Source organism: Homo sapiens, chromosome 12 (genome assembly GCF_000001405.40).
Source record: "Homo sapiens chromosome 12, GRCh38.p14 Primary Assembly".
NCBI classification, from domain to species: Eukaryota; Metazoa; Chordata; class Mammalia; order Primates; family Hominidae; genus Homo; species Homo sapiens.
This window is the reverse complement of record NC_000012.12, coordinates 14,961,806-14,985,252: the sequence shown is the minus strand read 5'-3', so window position 1 is coordinate 14,985,252 and position 23,447 is coordinate 14,961,806. Positions and strand designations below refer to the sequence as shown.

General features: G+C 38.9%; 1 protein-coding gene across 1 annotated transcript, besides 1 other annotated feature; it reads right to left on the bottom strand.

The window, feature by feature from the left end:
* On the bottom strand, positions 3,388–12,211 carry PDE6H (phosphodiesterase 6H). The gene is made up of 4 exons (NM_006205.3): positions 12,167–12,211; positions 7,107–7,281; positions 6,034–6,074; positions 3,388–3,853 (listed from the first exon to the last, which is right to left on the bottom strand). Exons 2-4 carry the CDS (start codon positions 7,238–7,240, stop codon positions 3,777–3,779), a joined length of 252 nt encoding a protein of 83 aa, NP_006196.1. The 5' UTR covers positions 7,241–7,281; positions 12,167–12,211; the 3' UTR covers positions 3,388–3,776.
* Positions 3,866–3,965: an enhancer, noted in NCBI's record as "active region_6065". NCBI's record gives its function as "activates an Ori minimal core promoter by ATAC-STARR-seq in GM12878 lymphoblastoid cells {active_cell/tissue: GM12878}" and the evidence as "EXISTENCE:reporter gene assay evidence [ECO:0000049][PMID:35858748]".

Below are 23,447 nucleotides of genomic sequence, written 5' to 3'. Positions count from 1 at the left end.
GCACAAATGTAAGAATCACCTAGGGCCCTCATTTAATAACATAGATTTCAATATCTCTCCCTTGGAAATTCTTATTCAGAAAATCTGGAGTGAGGCCCAAATTTTATGTGCTTTTAAGAAGAGACTCTCAATGTTTCTTATTATCAGAAAACTGTCTGAAGATTTTTTTTAATTCCCCAAACTCTTAAACTTTATGATAAATTATTTCTGCTATTGTTCTCTTTTGCCTATTGGGTTCTTCCTATTCAACACTGCTCTTCCTCCACTCTAGCGTTTTGCATCAGAATCAGCTGTGTAGGCTATAGACATATGCATGCTATTTCCCAACTCCAACTAAAAATCACTGGCTGACAAATACTATCTGCTCTTCAATACTGTTGCTATGATGGATATATATTTTCTTAGCCCCTTCACATTCACTCTCCACTTGCTCTTTGCTGAAGAAGGTGAACTTTTTAAAAAATTTTAAGTTGCAGGATACATGTGCAGGATGTGCTGGTTTGTTACACAGGTAAACGTGTGCCATTGTGGTTTGCTGCACCCATCAACCTATCACTTAGGTATTAAGCCCCACATGCATTAGCTATTTATCCTGATGCTCTATCTTCCCACCGTCCCCCTTAGAAGCCCCAGTGTGAGTTGTTCCCCTCCCTGTGTCTATGTGTTACTGGAGAAGGTGAACTTTAATGACTGCATTAAAGAGATTCTTTGCCCTCTGATTTCCAGTTGGGTTTAGCCAATGGGAGGCATCAACAGGGAAGTAGAGAAGGGGAGAAGGATGACATTGGAAGGAGGAACAACCCCTTTACCTCCTGATTACTTACAGCATCACTGTATGTTAACTATGTCCCTCTGCCACATCCTACAGCCTTGTCAAGGGCCCCTCCTTTATTATTAGAGATGTTATTTCTGGATTGCTTCAGGCCCAGGTTTGGCAATGGCTCCTATGCTGTTGCTAGCCCGAAGTTACTGTACTGGCCTTTGTAGATTGCCACTAACTCTTCCCCAGCCTGTGTAAATAGTCCCTTTGTTAAACCTTTCCTCAATTACCCAGCTTGGGGTTGTCATCTCTTTGCTGCCAGGACTCAGATGAGGACAATGACTTACTTTATCTCTTTCATATGTGTTGTCTATACATTGAGAGGTTTCTTATTTAAAATAATAAAATGATAGGAATAGCAATAATAGGATTCTAGATACTGGAAGGGCTTTAAATTATGTCTACTCCAGCTTACCCCCAAATGCCAGACTGTGGCGTGAAAGATATTTGCTTCTTCCTCCTTCATGATTACTTTTTTTTCCTTTTTTTTTTTTTTTTTTTTTTTAGATGGGGTCTCGCTCTGTCACCAGGCTGGAGTGCAGTGGCACGATCTCAGCTCACTGCAAGCTCCACTTCCCTGGTTCAAGTGATTCTCCTGCCTCAGCCTCTTGTGTAGCTGGGACTACAGGCTCATGCCACCACACCCAGCTAATATTTTTTTTTTTTTGTATTTTTAGTAGAAACGGGGTTTCACCATGTTAGCCAGGCTGGTCTTGATCTCATGACCTTGTGATCTGCCCACCTCAGCCTCCCAAAGTGCTGGGATTAGAGGCGTGAGTCACCACACTCGGCCTTCCCCATTACTTTTTTAAAAGATCCGGTGTATTCAGGTTGTTACAGCTGTGGACCATTACAACTTTTCAAATATTTGCTGGCAATGAATGTTTTCTTCTCTCAGCTAAATGTTATCAGTTCGTTCAACAATTCCCCATGTAGCATAGTTTCTAGATACTTCTTTAGGTAGCCTTTGGATACATTCTTTTGAGTGCATTCTGTTTTGTCAATGTCATTGCTTCATTTTTAAAGAAATATTTGAAAAGTAAGCCAAATGTGAACCAGAGTCTCTCCCAGCTGGAGAAGAAGCAAATCCTCCCTAATTGGGATGAACTGAAGGCACTGGCTGTCAAATGGAGCAGCTGACTTGAAAGGCAAGGGTTAGCTTTGGCAGGAGAGAAAGCAGGTGCCTGGGTGGAGGCAGGAGTTCCTGCTGAAGGAGGAAACACACATTTCCACTGGGCGTCTTTGCATGTCATGGTTCCACTTTTGAATCTATACCTCAGCTTTTCTTTTGTACTTCTAATTTTCTGGCCAGAAGGTAACCTGATCATTCGTGCAAAATGGTTAACACAGGCCTTGTAGCAGCCACAAGTCTCAGTGCTGCACTCCTCTAAGACCACAAAGTCACAAAATTTATCACTACCATGAACCTTAGATTATCTGATTCAGGAAAACTTGAAGGTACAAAGGGTGAGATCTTTGCCCAAAATTATATTGCAATTTACTGGTAGAGACAGGATTAGAACCTGAATCTCTTACTTCTCTATCATCCTGTCTCTCTCTTCGGTTAATTTACTCCATTCTTTTACCACAGATTTCAAAACTGAAATGAAGAAATTCATACTGTTAGTTCCAAAGCATCCAAGTCACATAGAGGCAGCATTTGAGTTGCACAATTGCCTTGAAAGTATTGAGAAAAGATAAGTATGAGCACATTACATTGACACAACTTCAGGGGTGAGGCAAACCATCCATTTTATTTAGAGGGTCAACTGCCTATCCTTTGCATATGAGTCTAAACCTTACAGCATATAAATCTTTTCAATTGACAGTTTAAAGATTAGATTTACTACAGATGTACACAAAGCAGTCAATGTATGTAACTCCTGTGACTCTCATTTTAAGTCATTGGACAAAATAATTTCACTGAAGGGATGCCGTGGAAGGAAACCTTCCTCAACCAGAGTACCGAAAAGAAGGCTCACATTGTCAGAATTCTGAGTTTAAATCCCAGTTCCTCACCAACTTAGAACTATACAACTTAGAGCTGCATGAGACTTCTGGAATAACCTAGTTCAATAAAATTTAGACCCAGTGGCCGGGCGCAGTGGCTCACGCCTGTAATCCCAGCACTTAGGAAGGCCCAGGGGGGGTGGATCACGAGATCAAGAGATCGAGACCATCCTGGCCAACATGGTGAAACCCCATCTCTACTAAATATACAAAAAATTAGCCAGGCATGGTGGCAGGCGCCTGTAGTCCCAGTTACTCGGGAGGCTGAGGCAGGAGAATGGCATGAACCCGGGAGGCGGAGCTTGCAGTGAGCCGAGATCGTGCCACTGCACTCCAGCCTGGGCGACAGAGTGAGACTCCGTCGCAAAAAAAAAAAAAAAAAAATTTAGACCCGGAAATTATACAATTTACAAACTTACAGAATTCAAATCTTAATGCTATGCTGTTTTGTAAGCACTGCACTTATTTCCTGTATGACTGTGCCTTCTTTGTTTAATTGGTTCTCAGAACACAGCATCAGATATTTCTACGTAGCATTTAATACAACTTCACCAACATTCAAGGTAAATATCTCCTTTATTAAATATGAGGAGGTGGGGAGTGACATAAATGTTGTCTTAAAAGTCTACTATTAATCATAATGAATGCCTAGCAAAAATAGATTTAAAGGACTTACAGATAAACAAAATGTAGAGAAATATTGATGACTTCTAACTAGCTGGTAGGAAAAGGTGGTCAAGTTTGAAATGCATCCACTATTTTGAGCTGTACTGCAAGAGAGATTCTGACAGTAAGAGAACTCTTAGTAGTAACTGATAGGGAATGACCTTGAAAGTCAAAGAAACCACTTCCAATCAGCTGAATTTCAAGACTCCGGCAGATCAACAGGGCAAAAGCAACCAAAATTACAGCAGATGTCATTGAGAGTGGCAGAACCTCTGGCACTTCAGATAATCCCAAACTGAGCGAGCTCATGCAATTCCAGGTGGCTGAATGCCTCCCATGGACAAATCACTGTGATATCTGCAAGAGATGGAAGAAGAGCACGTAAGCCAACCTCACCCCAAGAGAGCTTCTTCACAGAAAGACACCCTTCAGGCAGAGACACTTCACTCCTCTCTCCTGCTCATTGTCCCCTGACTGGGAAGTTCCCTAGCGTGGCCCTGTGGCCCAGGAAGGATCAGACCAATTGCTTAATTGTTGCACCAGGCATCTCTGTTGGTTTCATTCTGCTTCCTCTTTGGGGAGGTGATCCACAGCTGTTGACTGGGGGGTTCCCTGTGGGGTACAGCCCACTGATTACACAGAGTCTCCCCAAACCACAACCACTAAGGAGGAGGCAGAAGTGGAATTCTAGTCAGGCCAAGGGTTAAAATGAAAAAGAGGAGCACTTTGAATCTCCCTGGTCTAGGTATCCATAGTCTTCCCTACCAATCTAGATCGGTTTCTTCTCTAATTGTTCTTCTATTCCTTTACATTTTGAATTGCCTATATCCAATCACATATTGAGAAACGATCACAAAGCATCTTTTAATCCAGCTTCTTGTTTTAGACAATAAGATGTTATTATCCCTGAGTTACAAAGAAGCTTGCTGACACACAGAAAGATGAAATAATTAGCAAAAACCACATAGTTGTAGAGCTGAGACTAGAGCCAGGTCAAAGACCTCAGACCTTCACTCCCTATAAACCTCTTTACATTATTCCAAATACACTGTCAGAGTCAAGCATATCTTCCAGATCCCAAAGCAAATTTGCTGGTCTTGTATGCACCTTGCCAAAATACGGAAGCAGTTGATCTAAAAGAATAGAAAATTTGCTTTATAACATGGCTGGAAAATTCATTCAAGATCCCAGGATTGGTATTTGCCTGCAGAAAGAGACACTGAGGATTGCCTGGGAAGGACACTGATTACTACAAGTGCTACTGTTTATCAAAGGTGTGTTGGATGAGTTGAAAATATGTCCACACAAAAGCCTGCACATAAATATTTAGGGGCATTTTATTCATTATTGGCAAAACTTGGAAGAAACCAAGGTATCTTTCAATAGGATAAAAAACTGTGTATATCCCTACAATGGAGTATCATTCCGTGATTTTAAAAAATGAGCTATCAAGCCACATAAAAACATGGAGAAACCTTAAATGAATATGGTTAAATGAAAGAAGCTAGTCCAGAAAAGCTGTATACTGTATGAGTCTAACTATATGACATTCTGGAAAAGGCAAAACTATAGAGACAGTAAGAACATTAGTGGATGTCTGGGGTTTAGAGAGAGAGAGAAGGATGACCGGGTGGAGCATAGGGCAGCGAAACTATTCTGTATGATACTATATGTACTGCAATATGTACTATAATGGTGGGTACATGGTATTTATCAAAACCCTTAGAACTTTACAACACAAGGGATAAAAACTCTAATTCAAGCTATGGAGTTTAATTAACATACTGCATCGACATTGGCTCATCAAATATAATCACACTAATACAAGATGTTAATAATAGAGGAAACTGTGTAAAAGGGGAGAGAGATGGTAGAGAGGACATATAGGAACTCTACTTTCTGCTGAACTTTTCTGTAAGTCTTAAACTCCTCTAAGAAATAAAGTCTATTAATTTAAAAAATATGCAGTGATTGCATTCATTGTATGATACATAAAAATCTGGTAACCAATTTTTAAAATTATATTGCAGGCATTCAGTATGTAAGATCCTCCTCTGGGTGCTAGAGGATGTGTAAAAAGAGGAAATTGGTAAGGAAGTGGTTTGCCAGGTAGAGTGGAGAGATCTCCAGACCTCACCCTTATTTCCAATAGTTCACTTGGTAGCCTCAGACAAAAGACTGCCAATTCCTGTATGTCTCAGATTTCTCCCTTGAAAAATGAAGTTTGGGGAGATGAATTATGAAAATCTTTCTACCATAAAAGTCTATAATTTATCATTGTATGCCCTCAAAGGTTGTTTGACAAAACAAGAAGGTTTATGAAATTTTGGGCCTACCCTGATTTCTTTTAGGGCTTTTGTATCTGGGCACACATGTACTTATTTCGAGGGTAAATTAAATCCCCACATTTCTATGTCTTCACAGATCTTCTGCCTTGGGTATTTCTCATAACTTTCAACTGCCCCTTGAGGCCTGAAGTATATAAAAAGGCAGAACTCCAAGTGCGAAGTTCTCACTTAAATCAGTGGATGGCTTACCTGTTCCTAGCCCCTCCATTCCTGGAATGTCATCTCCAAATCTATGGAAAAGAATAAAGGAGAAATTAGCTGAGATTAGAGCAAAAGAATTTTGGAGTCACTCACATGGAGAGTTTCTTGATTCAAGGGGGAAGAAGGAGAGGTTTAAGTGTTTGTATGTGAGAAACTCCTTTAGTTTGCCCTGAACTGGAGCAAAGAAAATGTCACTCAGGCAGGTTTTGGTGTATCCCACTGGAGAGATATTTCTCTCCTGTAGGAACTTAACCTAAAACAATTAAGAGTCAGAAAGAACCATCAGTGGGACAACTTAGTCAAGTTTCACTTTTTATAATAAAAATTGAAATGAGAAAGCAATACAAAAGGCATTAAAAATGATGAATTCATCCATTTGTTTACTTATTCAAAATCATTAACTAAGCATCTATTATATACCAGGCATTTTATTAAGCACAGAGAGTTAAGAAGAAAACAGACAAATTTTCTGAGTGGTCTTAGCCTCGGAGAATAGATACAAATAAATAAATATAAGATATAATGTAAGTTATGATAGCTGAATGTACAAAATGCAAACATGAAAGTAATGATAGTTTGTTAAAGAGAGTCAGGAGTAGCTTCAAAAAGAAATTAGCATATGATCTGTGTGTTGAAAAATCAATAGGATTTTGCCAAGGAGAGGAAGAGGAAAATAAAGAACTGAGGATACAAAATTGGAAGACATAAATATAAGCTATATTTTCTGGAAATGGTCAGTGGTTCAGTGTTACAGATTAACGTAGAGGTTGTCTCAGTAAAGAGGAGTGGTCATCAAAAGCCTGCAAGGCAAAGTCAAAGTTTATTGTAAAAAGCCTCTATTTGCCATGTTAAATTCGGCCACAGACCTGGAAGTTGAGAAGGAAAGAATTCCAGGGATAAAGACACAATTCATCAAAGATGGAGTTACAGAGGAAAAGAGAGGATGGAGTGGAAATTTTTGTAAGTCTGTTTAATATTGTGAGCACCAATTTCCCAAAACAAAAGCAGTCTTGTGGGAAAAAGAAAGTAATAGAAAGTTTTTCTTTTCATTTTGGTCTTACCCTTTCACACCTTTCTTTGGAGGTTTACTCTTGAATTGGCGAGTCTGCCTCTGCTTGAACTTGGGAGGGCCTTTGCGTGGGGTGGTAGGACCCTGGTTTGAAGCTGGAGCAGGCAGAGTAGTGTTGTCACTCATTTTAACTCCCCCCGGGCGGCTGATGTTTCCCTTTCAGCCTCCTTAGACAGTGAAAGATAAAAAAAAGAAGATCTTTCAAGTCATGGGGACCATTGGTTATTAGATCTTTATTTCAGGCTGGAGAAGAAAAGTACTTCAACAAGAAAGCTCAGTATTTTGTGTTGACACAAAAGGGGAGAAGTTATCATCTTTAAAAGGGATCTTTAAGAAAACAGAGTATAAATCAATGCAGGCACTTAATGGAATGGAATGGAAACTTACCTTCTGCTACATTACTTACACAATCTATCAGTTGTGTAAACGGACAATTGATAGATTTTAAAACTCAGAAATCTAGGTAGCTATGCTGTTCCCATGGATCTGCCACTGAAAACAATTTTTAAATAAATAAATTAAATTAAAGCTTCACATTAGGTATAACAAATTAAAATTTAAAAATAAATAAATAAAATAGATTTGCCACAAGCATTCTACGTGAATTTATTATGATGCTGTACTTCTCTGTGACTACCAGTTCTGTCAGTTACGAAGAGAGGAAAATGGACTCAGTGATATCTATAGTCTTTTACAGCATCTGCAATTTCTTTAAGCTTTACATATTCTTCCATCCAGCTGTAAAATAACCTGACTCTAAATGTTTATTGAGCATTTTTTATGGCCTCTGTTTTTTTATAGTCCTTCATGTCCTTATAGTTTAAGATAGGATTATTTTGTTTAATCCTCACATGAACCAGAAACTTCTCTCTTAGTTCTGGGAGATGACAGTGTAGTTGTCTGGACAGGAGGACCTCTGAAGCAGGAATACCAACACCCATGAATATATTCAACACATCTTAATACACACGCACATACAGAAGTTAATGAAGGATAATTAAGTAATACGTTTGTGCTTCAACTCTACGTCGAGACATAAGGTTCTTCAGCCCCCACTTTTCACAAATCTTCAATGCCTTCTTCTATCCACACCACGGACCTATCCAATATGGTGTTCTCAGACTTTAATTTGGCTACAGAAATGCACATTGCCATTCTTCAAATACAAATCAAAGAAAATTATTGAAAAAGATAAATTTAAGCAATTAATGTGTCATTTTGGATGACGTTATTTTCTTTCTTCCTTTCTTTCGTAAGAGTTAACAAAACTTGCTCTTGGAAGGAAGATCCTGAAAAGCCCCAGAGAACTCCAAATTGCTTTTGCCTCTTACCCTGAGACAGTCTCCTCTATAAAAACTAGTGTGTGGGGGCTTTGTCTCCATAAGATTCCTTATTTCACCCATTGCAGATTTATGCTAATATTCTTTTTTCTTTTTTTTTAAGAGAGACAAGTTCTTGCTCCATCAGCCAGGCTGTAGTGCAGTGGTGCAATTGCAATCATAGCTCACTACAGCCTCAAACTCCTGGGCTCAAGTGACCCTCCCGCCTCAGCCTCCCGAAGTGCTAGGTTTACAGGCATGACCCATCACACCAGCCTATGCTAATACTGTTAACTGCAAACCTCCCTGACAGTCTTTGGCTCGTGCTAACAATGACTCTCTTTACTGGCCACACTGCATATTCCTGAAACCTCATATTCTATAACTTCCAGTCCATACTGTTTTCTTATTTCCTTGACAATTGGGTTGCAATTATTATCCTCGCCTCCAAGATTTTTCTCTTATTTAAATTCTGATTATTACTAAATTATTACCCTTGCCAGTACCAGGGATGGTGAGATTGGCCAGGACCCTGGACCACCTGCTCATGCTGTGATTCCTTCCTTTATCCCCTACTGGACTAGCTTCATGAGGCTGTCCTTCCAGTCTCAGAACCTACAACAGTGCATGGTGTACAGTAATCATGCCATATATATTATATTTGTCAAATGAGTTAATAAATTAATTTAGAAATTGAACAGGCCAGGCACGGTGGCTCACGCCTGTAATCCCAGCACTTTGGGAGGCCGAGGCGGGCGGATCACGAGGTCAGGAGATCAAGACCATCCTGGCTAACACGGTGAAACCCCATCTCTACTAAAAATACAAAAGATTAGCCAGGTGTGGTGGCGGGCACCTGTAGTCCCAGCTACTTGGGAGGCTGAGGCAGGAGAATGGTGTGAACCCAGGAGGTGGAGTTTGCAGTGAGCTGAGATTGTGCCACTGCACTCCAGCCTGGGCGACAGGGCAAGACCCCGTCTCCAAAAAAAAAAAACAAAAAAAAAAAACAAAAGAAATTGAACAAATACTGTAAACCTTGGTCATGAGATCCTGACCCTTTGACTTCTCCATCAGAGCACAGAGAAGTCATTAGCTTTCAGGCTTTAGGAAATGCACTGCCAGTTCCTCTGCTCACTAAATTCAGTTCCCGTTCTGTGGGCCCTCTCTACCCCCGGTAGACAGGCAAACCTTGTGTCTGTCCCAAGTGTGGTTGGGACCCTGGGAATAGCTGGTGAGCAGCCAAGATCTGCGCTGTGCTCAGAGTGGACCACCAGTAACTGACACATCCCAGCCCTGCCAGAGTCACAGAGGGCAGCTAGAGAATTGCTCTCAGATCAAGGTTTTTGAACTGCCCAGGATTTTCAAGGTAGAAGAAATCAAAAAGTTTCTTTTCTCTCATCTAAAGAATCTATTAGGGTTAGAATTGCCAGATTAAGCCAAAAAAAAAAAAATTACAAGACACCCAGTTCAATTTGAATTACAAAGAAATAATTTTTTTTAGTAAAGTATATCTCAGCTGTTTCATGGTACATATTTATACTTTAAAAAGTCATTTTTTTTCTGGAATTCAAATTGAACTGGCATCCTTCATTTTTATCTGGCAGCCCTAATAAGATCCAATTGAGTTGGATCCAGAGTTCTATAATGTAAGGGCCTAAAGTGACCCTCATTTGTCAAATTGTCCTTTGATGGTAACACGGTAGAGAGTACACTCTTTAGAATCAAACTGATATAGTTTTAAGTTCCTACTCCACAGAACTGGCTACGTGACTTAGGATAAATTTCATAATCCTCTGTGGGTCTTATTCCATCTATAAAATGAATCAAACAAGACCTTCCTTTTAGAGTTATGGGGAAATTTTAGGAAGACAATATAAGTAGAGTGGTACAAAGTGTTCAAAAAGGGCAAATATATGCTAGACCTTCTGAGAGAAAAGAAAGCCATGCAAACAAATCTGTGGTTATGACACTTGTTCACCTGGACTCTGCACCTCCTTCCTCTGGGCCAACTGCTGAAGGGCCCTTGCCATACACCAGAGGGGCAATTATCATCTGCCCTCGCTGGGTAATTCTCTGCTTCCTTCAAACACCCCGACTGTTAACTTATTTCTGGTCTTAAAATTCTGTCTTAAGAAGCTTTCCTTGAATTCCTTTGACACCCCAACAGCAACCCCGAAGAATTTAAAAATCACACGTGACATCCATATTCCCCAATGATACATCCCCTTTTTTCTTGCAAGTTTCTTTTGCATTTTTACATAATTTTGAAGTTACACCTCTAGGCTTAGAAAGTGTTCATGTCTGAGTATGATGCATTATATGAAAGAAGCCTCCTCAGAAAGAGTTACATAACAGTTGCCAGGTTAATCCCTTGATCCTAATGGTGCTCAGGATTTGCACTAGGTAACCGGAACAGTCGACTAATCCCTATGCAGTTTCTGTCATAGATTTACCCTCCAATTCTCTCTGCAAAACCTTTAGGAAGGGTAGAACACCTCTGACCTTTTCCTGCATTGGAAGCCAGTCCTGTTGTCCATAAACATCACCAAAGGCTAACCTCATGCTGACCACACCTTTCTAGAAATTCTAAGGGCATCTGGAGCTGAGTAACCTTAAATGTATTATCAGACTTGATTTTAGCTGAAAGAAGTTTCATATTTTTTCCTCCAAAAGCATTAGGCAATTTATTCTTTTGTGAGCCAGAACATTTTCCTGTATTTAAAGCAATGTTAGCCCTTCCCCTTTTGAAGATTACAAACTGTTTTTCTGCAGAAATAAGTGGATGCAGCAAAGTAATATTTCAAGGCATACTTTTTTAGGGGACTGGGATTAGGGTCAACTTAACAAAGTTAAAGATTTGTATAAAGCAAAAAATCATCTTCTGTTTCTTTATACAGCAAAGCCCAGCTCTATATAGTGACAGAGGATGATCCTCTGAAAAGCAGTTTTAGGAGGTTCCTGAGACAGCTCTCTGATGCTGCTGTTATCACCTTACACTTCCAGTTCTCTTTTTCTCAGCAAAGCTATAGACAGGTAGACCAGTCCATTGTTGGTGGACAAAGAAAGAGGCAGGAAGGAGCTGGGAAGGGAAGTACTGCTGGGGTTGAGCCCATAAATATCACCCAGGGTCCTGCTGAGGCAGAGAAAATCAATAATTTGAAAAGCAAAGCAAGACCCAAACCAAAGCCATAAAAAAAAAATTACCAAAATTCCAGCCAGCACCCTGCTTCAGAATGGAACAAACACTTGACCTCAAAGGGAGAAGGCTCAGCCACCTGCCCTGCCCTGTGGTCATTCTCATGCTCTCAGCTCCCCTTCTCCTTTTCCTCACACTCACACCATCCTGGGCCAAGTTTGCAGGCACATCCTGGGAGTAAAGAACTGTTTTCTCTGTGGTTATTTAGTGCCACAGATTCCTCCTTCTTCAGAAAACTGTTTACTATGAAGCTGCAAACAGGGAGGTCACTATTGGGCTCCTTCTAAATGAATTCAGTAATCAAGTTTTGCAGTGACCTTGTAATAATCAAGTTTCACTTATTTGCTTGTCCCATGGCATAACAAGAAGGTCTGCATGTATCTCCTTCATGTTCTTTCCCATTTTCATCCCCAGCCACAGCCCAGGCCCACAGGTCCAACATGTTTTCTTCTGCAATTTTTCTTTTGGAACCTGATCAACCCCCCAAAGCCCTTCAATTATCCTGCTCAAATTCACCAGAAGTTCAGAAGTACTCACGGAGCTGAATGTTGTTCCTATCAGCTGCCCAGCTGCCTTCTTTGCAAAAGACAAAAGGATCTTTGCATCCTGACTTATCTCTCTGTAATACCCTCATGCTGCCTAATCTCACCGTCATAAGCTCAGAACAGCAACCCAGGTGCAAAGAAGTTAGGAGAACATGGGTTGATGCTGGGACAGGCTTAGGAGTTTTCCAATAATTAGAGGCCCTTTCAAAACTGACTTGGGTTCATTCCAGTCAATAAATAGGTATTGTATTCACAAAAACACAAAAAGTGTTGATATCCAAGGGTAAATTTCAGTTTGTGATTCAATATCTTCTGTCTTTTTTTTATTCTTACCTTTAGATTTCAATACCCCCATTTCTTCCCTTTCTCTGACAAACACACACCTATGTGCGCAATCACACACACACATATACACAGTGACATAATTCTTATGGGGCTCTAGATAACTGGAGAGAAGAGAGGGAGCCACAGTGCCTCCTGCTATACAGGGACATTGAACATGCGGGCAGTGACATTGGGAAACACACAGTATGTCTCCCTAACTGGTATTGTGCGAATTTCCTCAGAGAGATGGAACCTCAGAGTCAAAACTGATATCTGACACAGAAAGGGCCCAAATGACAGCTAGGAATTGTTAACTGAGGACACTTATTTGAGAATCGATTGCTGGATCTTCCGTACCTAAATGTTTCAGGGTGTAGGGTCTAGGGTACAATCCAATTTACTGAGACTCCTTGACTCAGTCTTCCTATTTTATTGATCCACTAGTATTAATTATTAATAGATTAATACTTTTTGTATTTTAAATAGATCTCAACCCATATGGTAGTTATCAGTAAGCTCTTTTGATAAATTTATCATAGAAAGATTAAGTGACCTATTCAAGACTGCAAATAAAATTAATAGTGGAGCCAGGAACAGGGCCCAAATCTGGAAGTACCTTGCATATTCAATTGTCTTTGTGCTGCACTACATCAAAGCAGACAGAGACCAAGATGTCTGTTTGCTGGTCACTTCCATGCCTTGCCAGTGAATTTCAATGTTCTTTCCCCAGTTGTTACCTATTAGAAAATTACACTCCATAACATTACAGAGAAAGAAGGTCAATTTATCCTTTCTAGACAGGGAGAGGTTCTTAACCTGCAGCCCTAAGCAGATTACATGAGCAACTAGACAGCTTGAGAGTCATTCATATGCTCTCCACTGGTCTTTACCAAAATTCCTCTGAGTTTTGAAAGCAATGATTACCTTGCAAAGCCAGGAAAGTGTTTGGTCTCTGGATGAGTCCCTCTGCTCCCTCCTCTGTATCTCCATTACCATTCACATCTTCCTTTACTATTACATACCAGGCACGTTAATGTTCAGATGCTTATCTGTCAAACTTTTACATATTCTCCATTTTCTTGATGAAAGAATACAAATTTTAAGGACAGTGGAAAGTGCCAAAAGCTGAGTGAATGTTCTAGAATGTTGTTACTCAAAGTGCAGCAGCAGCAACACCATCTGTGCACTTGTTAAAAATGCAGGATTTCAGCCCTGCTCCATACTTACCGAATCAGAATCTGCTTTTTAACAAGGTCCAAGGTGATGTGTTTGCATATTAATGTTTGAAAAGTACTGTTCTAGACCCATATGCAAGCTTGGGTTTACCACTTATCTGCTATATGTCACCTCTCTGAGTCTCAGTTTCCTCATATGTAAAATGAATGATTTAGAGTGTTGGGGTTCTCAATTTTTTTCCATCCCAGTACACTTGAGAAAGATAATCTTGCAATTCTCAGATTCTCAATTTTTGAATATGGGGGTGGTTGTGCCATAAGTCTTCTTCCTCCAAAGGAAATCCAGGAGAGAGAAGAGGGAGAGATTAGGAGTGTGGAGAAAGTCTAGGTGTATAGTTTGAAAAATTCTCCTAAAGCCACTCTAATATGGTTCTCAGGGGTTTAGAATTAGAAAATTCTTAAATTACTCTACAGTCTTAAAAATCTATGTTCCTTCTTGTTTTGGACCAAGTAAAGTAGACACATTTCCTCTCATGCCTCTTGCTAAGTACAGCTAAAAATCCTGGATACTATATATGACAGAAATATGGAATATTTCAAAATATTTGAGAGAAGAAAAACCAAAGACAGGCTTTAGATGCGAGGAACAATATGGCAGGAAGTTTCCTGAATTTTCTTTTTGTATATCCGGATGTTGATGCAGGAAAAGACAGTAACCCAAAAACACCAAGAGGAGTGAAAAAACAAAAAACCTCCCCAAAAGCCTGTTTTTTCTAGACAAGTGACCAAGAGAGTAGCAAACTAGCAAGAACAAAAACATTTAAACAAAAACCGCCCTACTCCAGTCAAATACCATGGAAAAAAAACATGACATGACTCAGCAAAGTCTGAGTGGAGAGCCAAGACTTTCATCTTGATTCAGCTACAACGGGGTGACCTTCTTTCTCCCACCCTAGCTGAGTAGCATCAGAGAAAGCCACATTGGGATCTTGGACTTTCACCTCCAACCAGTCATAACGAGGCCACCTTCTTCTCCCTACCAGAGCGGTATCAAAGAAGCCCAAGTGGGAAATTTCATCTCCATTCAGAAATAACACAGCATGTAAAAAAGCATGAAATAAAGATTTTAGAACTGAAAAATAGAATAACCAACATAAAAAACTTAATGGATAGGCTCAAAAACAGAATGGAGAATAAAGAAGAAAGAATCAGTGAACTTGAAGACAGAAAAATAGAAATTACCCAATCTGAACAAAAGACAGAAAATAAACCCACCCCCCCACAAAAAAAATGAATAGAACCTTACAGATCTGTGAGACTAAAGGACCTAATATTTATGTCATCAGCATCTCAGAAGGAAAGGAGAAAAGAGATGAAGCTTAAAAAGTACTTGAAGAAATAATGGCTAAAAATGTTCCAAATGTAGTGCAGGACGTAATTGTGTAACATCAAGAAGGTGGGAAAACCCAGTGGGATAAACTCAAAGAAATCTACACCAAAATACACCATGGCTAAACTTCAGAAAACTAAAGACAAAGAAAAAAAGTAGAAAGCAGTGAAAGAGAAGCAACACCTTATCTGTAAGAAAAATAACTCAACTGACAGCAGATTTCCCATTAGAAACCAGGGGGACTAGAAGGATATGGCACATTTTTCATGTCCTGAGAAAAAGAACTGTCAACCCTCACTTCTATGTCATGTGAATTTATCCTTCTTCGGAATAAGGGGAAATAATGACATCCTCAAACAAAGGAAGACTAAGAGAATCTATAATCAGAAGACCTACTCTAAAAAGATGGCTAAGGAAACTTTTTGAAACAAAAAATAAATGATAAAAGAAAGAATTTTAGTCTATCTGAAAAGAAAAATGGAAGATAAGAAACTCAACCACCTTCAGCAAGGCTTGGTGGAGAACGAAACATCGTTCAAGGCACTATGAGGTTCTAAGGGTCTGGTCATCATCTTGGATCAAGGATTCACCCACTGTTCCCTGTTTGAAGTGGCTGCTCTTCCTGTCTCTGCTACTCTGACTCCTACTGACTCTCAGGGGATTGGTGTAGGCTGGGCAAGCAACAATCAATACACATCACCTCTGTTGGATGGAGTAGTTTTACCAGATCCCTTCATAGTTCATTGCCTAGTCTAGTGATGGCTGATTTCTGGTCAGTTTGTCTCTCATCTTATCAACCAGGTAATCGGGCTATATGGCTATAAGCAAAATGACCAATCTCAAAGGAATTCCTCCAAAATAACTTTGGCGTATTGAACACTCTAAGCTTTCACAGAAACAAGAAATAAAGCTAATGGGAACCTCGCTATTGATACATTCAATAACATAAATAAATCACAGAAACATTTTGCTAAATGAAAAAATCCACAGTCAAAAGGCAGTGTACTGTTTGACTTCATTTTTGACATTCTGGCAAGGCAAAACTGTAGGATTGGAGAATAGATCACTGGGTGCTTGGGACCGTGATTGAGTGGAGAAGTTGACTCCAAAGAGAAAATCCAAGAAATTTTAGGAGCGGTGATGGAATTATTTGGAATCCTGATCATAGTGGTAGATATACAACTCGATGCATTTGTCAAAACCCATATGTCCATCACAAGGAGTAAGCTCTACTGTATGCAAATTTTATGACTAAATATAATAAAATTATTTTCTTAAATCTGTATTCCATAGCTCTATAACTTCTGGTTCTTGATCCCTTCTGACAGATGGAAAAGTGTTATTAATTATATATTGGAAAGTAGAGTGCAGGTACTAAGTAATTAGAAAGTAATTAAAAATTTAGCTGTCCTTTAGCTGCTTATGCAAGCGCTAATCTCTAATCTTTCTTTAGTGCTTCTTAAAATACCAGTGAGTGGGAAGACACATTAAAGTCACATTTCCTCCACATTTGGAATCTCCTAGACTGAACTTTCCACTCTGACTAATGCATAGTGGACTCCAGAGGGGAACACACTAAACGTGAAAAAGGAATGTACAAGCCTGGCCCCTCTTTCCCTAAATACCCTACGTTTGATTCTCCAGAACAACATTAATCTTGGAAAAAAACTTATGAATTAAAAACACAATATTCTTTTCCAGAAAACAGATAAGAGGAAACACTTCCCAACTCATTTCGTGAGGCCTATTTTATCCTGACACCAAAACCACACAAAGAAATTTAAAAAGGAAATTACAGACCAGTATCTCTCATAAATTTAGATGCAAAAATTCTTAACAAAATATTATCAAATTAAATACAGCAATGTATAAAAAGAATAATACACTACAGTCAAGTGGGATTTATTCCAGCTTGCAAGGCTTATTAAATATTCAAAAATTAATCAACATAATCCATTATATTAACAAGCTAAAAAAGAAAATCATATGATCACATCAATTGATGAAAATATGATTAACAAAATCCAAAACCCATTAATGATAAAAACTCTCAGCAAACTAGGAATAGAACTAGGAATTCTACTAGAATAGGATTCTCATAAAGAAGCTATGAAAACCTACACATCAGTGAAACAGAGTAGAAAACTCAGATATAGACCTACACAAATATGCCCAATTAATTTTTGACCAAAGAGACAAAAGCAATTCAATGGGAGAGGGATGGTCTGTTCAACAAGTGGTGCTGGAAAGCATGGACACTTTGTCTATGGGTATCCATAAACCAAGAGGAGAAGGAGAAAGAGAAGGAGGAGAAGGAAGAGGAGAGAAAGAATCTTAAACCTCACATATTATGCACCCCAAAAACCTCACACCTAGTACGGAAATTAACTCAAATGAATCACAGACTAAAATATAACATGTAAAACTATGAAACTTTAATTTAAAAATATGAGAGAAAATCTCCAGGCCCTTGGACTAAGTGAAAAGTTCTTACACTTGCCAGTGAAAACACAATCCATAACAGTAAAAATGGATAAATTTGACCTCATTAAAATTAAAAATATTTGCTCTGTGAGAAACTCTGATGGGGGAATTGAAAGACAAATTACAAATTGGAAGATGGTATTTGAAAATCCTATACCCAACAAGGGATTTGTACCTCAAAAATGTAAAGAACTCTCAAAACTTGAGATTAAAAAGGCAACCAATTCAATTAGAAAATGAACAAGAAATACGTGTAAACATTTCACTGACGAGGATATGTAGATTACAAGCACACAAAAATATATTCACCATAATCATCCATTAGGGAAATGCAAATTAAAACCACAATGAGAAATCACCACACACCTATGATAATGATTAAAAAAAAACATAGTGTAACACTAAATGATTGCACAGATATAGGAGAAGCTGGATCACTTGTGCATTGTGAGTGGGAGTGTAAAATGGAACAGCCACTGTGGAAAACCATTTGGCCAGTTTTCCTAAAAATAAACATGGATTTACCATGCAACCTAGCAATTGCACTTTTGGGTGTTCATCCAGTGAAGTGAAAACTTGTGTCCACAAGTGTTTATAGCAGCTTTATTCATACTAGCCCCAAACTGGAAACTATCCAAATTTCCTATAATGAGTGAATAGTTACACAAACTGTGGTACTTTTATACCATGAAAATACTGCTCAGCCGTAAAAGGAAATGAAGTTATTGATACCTACAACAACTGGTATGAACCTCAAGGAAATTATGCTAAAGGAAAAAAGCCAATTACAAATGTACGTATGATTCCGTTTACATAATATTCTTTTTAAAATTTTTTATTTTAAGTTCAGGGGTACGTGTGCAGGTTTGTTACATAGGTAGACGGGGGTTTGTTGTACACATTATTTCATCACCCAGGTATAAAGCCTAATATCCATGAGTAATTTTTCCTGATCTTCTCCCTCTTCCCACCCTCCATTCTCCAATAGGCCTCAGTGCGTGTTGTTTCCCTCTGTGCATCCATGTGTTCTCATCACTGAGCTCCCACTTATAAGTGAGAATATACAGTATTTGGTTTTCTGTTTCTGCATTAGTTTGCTAAGGATAAGGGCCTCCAGCTCCATCTATGTCCCTGCAAAGGACATGATCTCCTTTTTTAAGGCTTTTTTATGTTCTTTGTTATGGCTTCATAGTATTCCATGGTGTATATGTACCACATTTTGTTTATCTAGTCTATCATCCATTTATTTAATATTTTTAAAATTAAAAAATTTATAGAGAGGGTGAACAATTTAGTGGTCACCAGGTGTTAGGGATGGGTGTGAGGAGGTGGGTGTGGCTACAGAAGGGTAGAACAAGTAAGCCTCACAGAGATGGCAGAGTTCTGTAACTTCATTGTGGTGGTAGTTAGAAGAAGCTTCACATGCAATAAAATTGCATAGAATTACACACACACACACAGACACACACACACACACACACACACGAGTGCATATGTAACTGGAGAAATAGGAGCAGGCTCTGTGAATTGTATCAATGTCAGTTTCCTGGGTTGATATTATACATATTTATGCAAGATGGTGACATTGGCGGAGAGAGAGTGAACATTTCAATTTTCTGTAAACCTATAAGTATTTCAAAGTGTAAATTTAAATAAATTTGTTATTCAAAAATTCATAAGAAGGATGCATAGCAACTTCAACATAGTGGCAATCAGATAAATATTTCTTCAAAGCTGCAATATAGGTGACTTGACTCAGCAGGCAGAGCTGTTTCCCCTTTTCCTATACTCCCCTCTCAAGCCATTCCTCCTTTTCTTCCTTTGTAGGCATCTCTCACTTCATCTTTTCTAAATACTGAGGTTTCCTAGTATGTGGGCCTTTCTCATTAATTCTGCTGGTATTTATTGACAGTATACTATGTTTTCAGTCAGTGCTCTAGTCTCTGGGATACAGCAGTGAATAAGACAAGGTCCCTGACCTTATAGAGCTCACAGTCTTGTGGAGACGTGGATAACAAACAGAAAAAATAATACATGGGAAATATGTCAAGGGATGTTACATGCTAGAAATAAAGCAAAATGATGAAATAGAGGCACTATTTTAAATATAATGGTTAAAAAAGACCTCTCTGAGAAATTGACATATGAGCAGAGATCTGAATAAAGAAAGAAATGAATCAGGTATGATTATTTAAAGGAAGAACATTTCTGCAAAGAGAATGATCCCTAAAATGGGAACCTGTTTCTCATTAAAAGATTAGCAAGAGGGGCATGATCTGGAATGGAGGAAACAAGGGCTAAGCGTTACCAGATGAGTCTGGAGGATCTAGCAAGTGGCTAGATCATGAGTATGTTAGAATTATAGTGCTACATGACAAATTACCCCAAAATTTAGTAGCCCATAACAATAGATATTTCTTATCTCCCACAGTTTCTATGGGTCAATCAGGAGCGGCATAGCTGGGTGGTTCCTGCTCACATCTTCCATGAGGTTACAGTCATGCTGTCAGCCAGAGCTGTCATCATCTGGAGCTGAAACCTTCATTTCCAGGATGGTCCACTCAGACAGCTTTTGGTCCTCACCACATGGACCACTCCACAGGGGGCTTGAGTGTCCTTATGACATGGTGCCCTGCTTCCCACAGAATGAATGATCTAAGAGAAATCAAGAGAAAAGACACAATGTCTAACAACCTTGGAAGCGACATGCCATCATTTCTGCCATATTCTATTGGCCACACAGAACAATCTTGATACAATGTGATCAGGGTTGAATACCAGAATCACTGGAGGCTGTCTTGGAAGATGGCTACTACAATAAGCCAATTTGCAGATATAGGTGAAAATAGAATTCTATTTTATTTTAAGTGGATGAAAGATCCCTAGAGGTCTGAAAACGAAGGAAAGATGTGATTATGAGTATGCTTTTTAGTCTGTTATGAGAATAAAGGTTAAATCAGACTATTATGGAAATAGAAAACATATAAAGAGAATGCTATGAAAGTCCAGCAGAGGCACAATGATGGTAGGCTAGGGTGCTAAACAAGGAGGAGGTAAGAAGCTGTCAGCAGGTTATTCACCGAAAGTGGAGCTAACAGGATTGCCCCATGCTTGGCCAACTTCTCTTTCTCCATTCCTTCTGGGTGAATCCATCCACTTACATAGTTTAAACCAGTGTTTCTAAAACCTCAAAGTTTACCTGCAGAGCTTTTTAAAACATAGATTTCCAGGTCCAACCTCCGGGAGAGATTCTGATGTAGGAGGTTTGGCCTGAGACTTTGCATTTATTTCTAAGGAGTTCCTGGGTGATGGTAGTCTGCTGGTACACAGGCCACACTTTGGGTGTCCTGGTTTAAATTACTATCCATAGTCTGATGATATGTAAATTCAGGCTTATATATTTCACTATCTTTCAGAAATCATCTCCAACAAACGACACCATTTTTTTTCAAACTCAGGACTAGACACGTCCAAACGTATGTCCTTATTTCTCCTAATACATCTATTTCTTCTTTTGTATTCTCTATCTCACTTGGGGGTACCCCCAAGGACCCAATCATTCTAGCAAAAAAATCCAGAAGTCATTCCTGATTCCACAGTCCTCCTCATCCTCATCCTTCACATCCCACCAATTACCAGGGCATGCCAATTTCACCTAAATATTTCTCAAATCTGACCATTTCTGTCTATCTCATTATGAGTGTTCAAGCCTAAACAGTCTCCTAATAGATTTTATTCACATCAAATCCAACCACATCAGTTTGCCAGAGTAAACTAAGTGAAATGCAAAACAATCATGTCCATCCTTTACTTTCAACAGTTCCCCATCACTGATAGGATCTAGGCCGAGTTCGTTATTAACATGGCATAAGAGGTCCGTGGTGATCTGAACACTGTGCCTGCCCTGCTCTAGGTATATTTCTCATTCACATGTAACTTCCACTTTACATTCCAACAATCTTGAGCTGCTTGCTTATAATACCCTGCATATCCCACATCATTTTGGGAGGCCAGGGCCGTGTTGCTGCTCATGTTTCTCCTCTACCTCGAGTGCCTTCTCTTTCACTCCCAACCCTTCGCTCATCAACTACTCAAAACCTACTCTCCCTCTTAACTGAGCGCAGTGGTCACTTCCTCCAAAAAGCCTTCCTTGATGTCCTTACATGTACTCTCAAAACACACCATGTATTTTTTCTTTTCCTATGCTGACAAAAAAAAAATTAAATTTGTCTGCTTCTGTCTTCCCCATTACATCTTTTAGCTACTTGAGGTCTAGGACTGTGTCTTGTTTATTTCTGTACCTTTCCGTGGCTCCTTGCATATGACCAGGAATTAAGTATATTTTGATAATTGGAGTCCTTTTAGAACTTTCTAAAATTATGAATGCTCTCTCATCCCCCAATAAATACATTAATCTATAATACAAATCTGTAAAATATGTATTGATTTTACAGATTTTTCTGGGAAGGGGTGCTCCCATACCCTCCGATATACACTGGGCTCTGGAGGGAAAAAAAAAGCCAGGTTTGCCTAGTGAGGTGTTCCCTAATAACATGAGAAATGAGTGGTGGAATAGAGACCATGCATTTACCATTTTTCATTTTTAAATATTTCTTGTTACAATTAATGTATTCTGCCTGTGTTATTTTAATTGTCTCCTAGGTACAACATAAGTTCCACAGGGCAGCAGAGATGTCGCCTGCGGTCTATTGCTGCACAAGGGAACTAGAACAGTACTTGAAAGAAAAGAGGTGCTCGATAAATGTTATGGAATGAATAAATGTATCCCCTCTTGAGGGTGCAGAGCTATAGAATGTGTAAGTTACTGCCTTCTGTGTAAATTAGGGTTTGCTTTGTTTTTACAATAAAGTTATGTACATTGTTTCAAGGGCTGTATTCTGTCTATGCTATTTTAAAATTTATAGAATAAAGTGGTATTAGGCTTTTAGTATTTTTGCTCATTTTAATTATATACTATTTTCCTTTTCATATTTTTCTAGGCTAATCTCTTCTCACGTGAAATGACTCCCTTGATTATTCCGATTTCATTGACTCTAAGTAGAAGGCAAACCCTGTGGTATCAATTTACAAAGGGAAATGAAGAAGATGCAGTACATTTAGGTGAAAACAAAATAAACGTCAGTTTCTCCAAATTTGTGTGCTTAGTCAGATCTAAATATATTGATGTAGTGTAAATACTGAATATTGAAATATTAACCTAAATAAGCATTTATTATTGGTAACAGCTACGGGAATATACAGCATGAATGTGACTTGGCTGCTTAAAAACTGTTCCTCAGATGGTTTAAACATGGCCTCCGAGACTTGTTCCCATTTAAATTACTTCATAAACCATTTCCTCAAATATGGTACAAAGTCTATTTTGGCACTTGTTAAGTTGTCACAAATTCTGAGTTGGAAGACTATGAATTAATGAAGTTTTACTTCCTTTTGTAATTTCTTTCCTAGGTTTCATCAAAGACAGTACTTTCGCTTGCTTGTTTGTTTCATTTGAAGAAAAATCAGCCAAAACTATTAAAAACAATATTTGACTGTTTGTAGTGCAATACAAAGCTACGTCTTGAAATTATAACCAACAAAACTCCAAAAATCTGTTTAAGGACACATTTTTAAATTTAGGACCGTAGTATATGCAGTTAACAATCATCATTTCTTAGCACTCTACATTCACTGCCAGCAAACTTTCAACGTATCTGGTTGATAATGAAGCTGGCGGGGACCCAGTGGGAACAGAAGTGAGTGGTACAAAGTAAAGCCGATGTGAATTTATTGCTACTGGTTTCAGGCTCCTTACCTCCATAGGCTTATGCACTGCAATGACCTGATTATCAGAAATACCCTCACAATTATTCATAATACCCATAGCTATAGGCTCCACA

Excerpts from the sequence above, each read along its gene's own strand:
- PDE6H (NM_006205.3), bottom strand. The coding sequence starts at position 7,240 with ATGAGTGACAACACTACTCTGCCTGCTCCAGCTTCAAACCAGGGTCCT. Across the intron at positions 6,075-7,106 it reads CCAAAGAAAGGTGTGAAAGG|ATTTGGAGATGACATTCCAG; the intron begins GTAAGACCAAAA and ends TCTTTTCCATAG. Across the intron at positions 3,854-6,033 it reads AATGGAGGGGCTAGGAACAG|ATATCACAGTGATTTGTCCA; the intron begins GTAAGCCATCCA and ends CATCTCTTGCAG.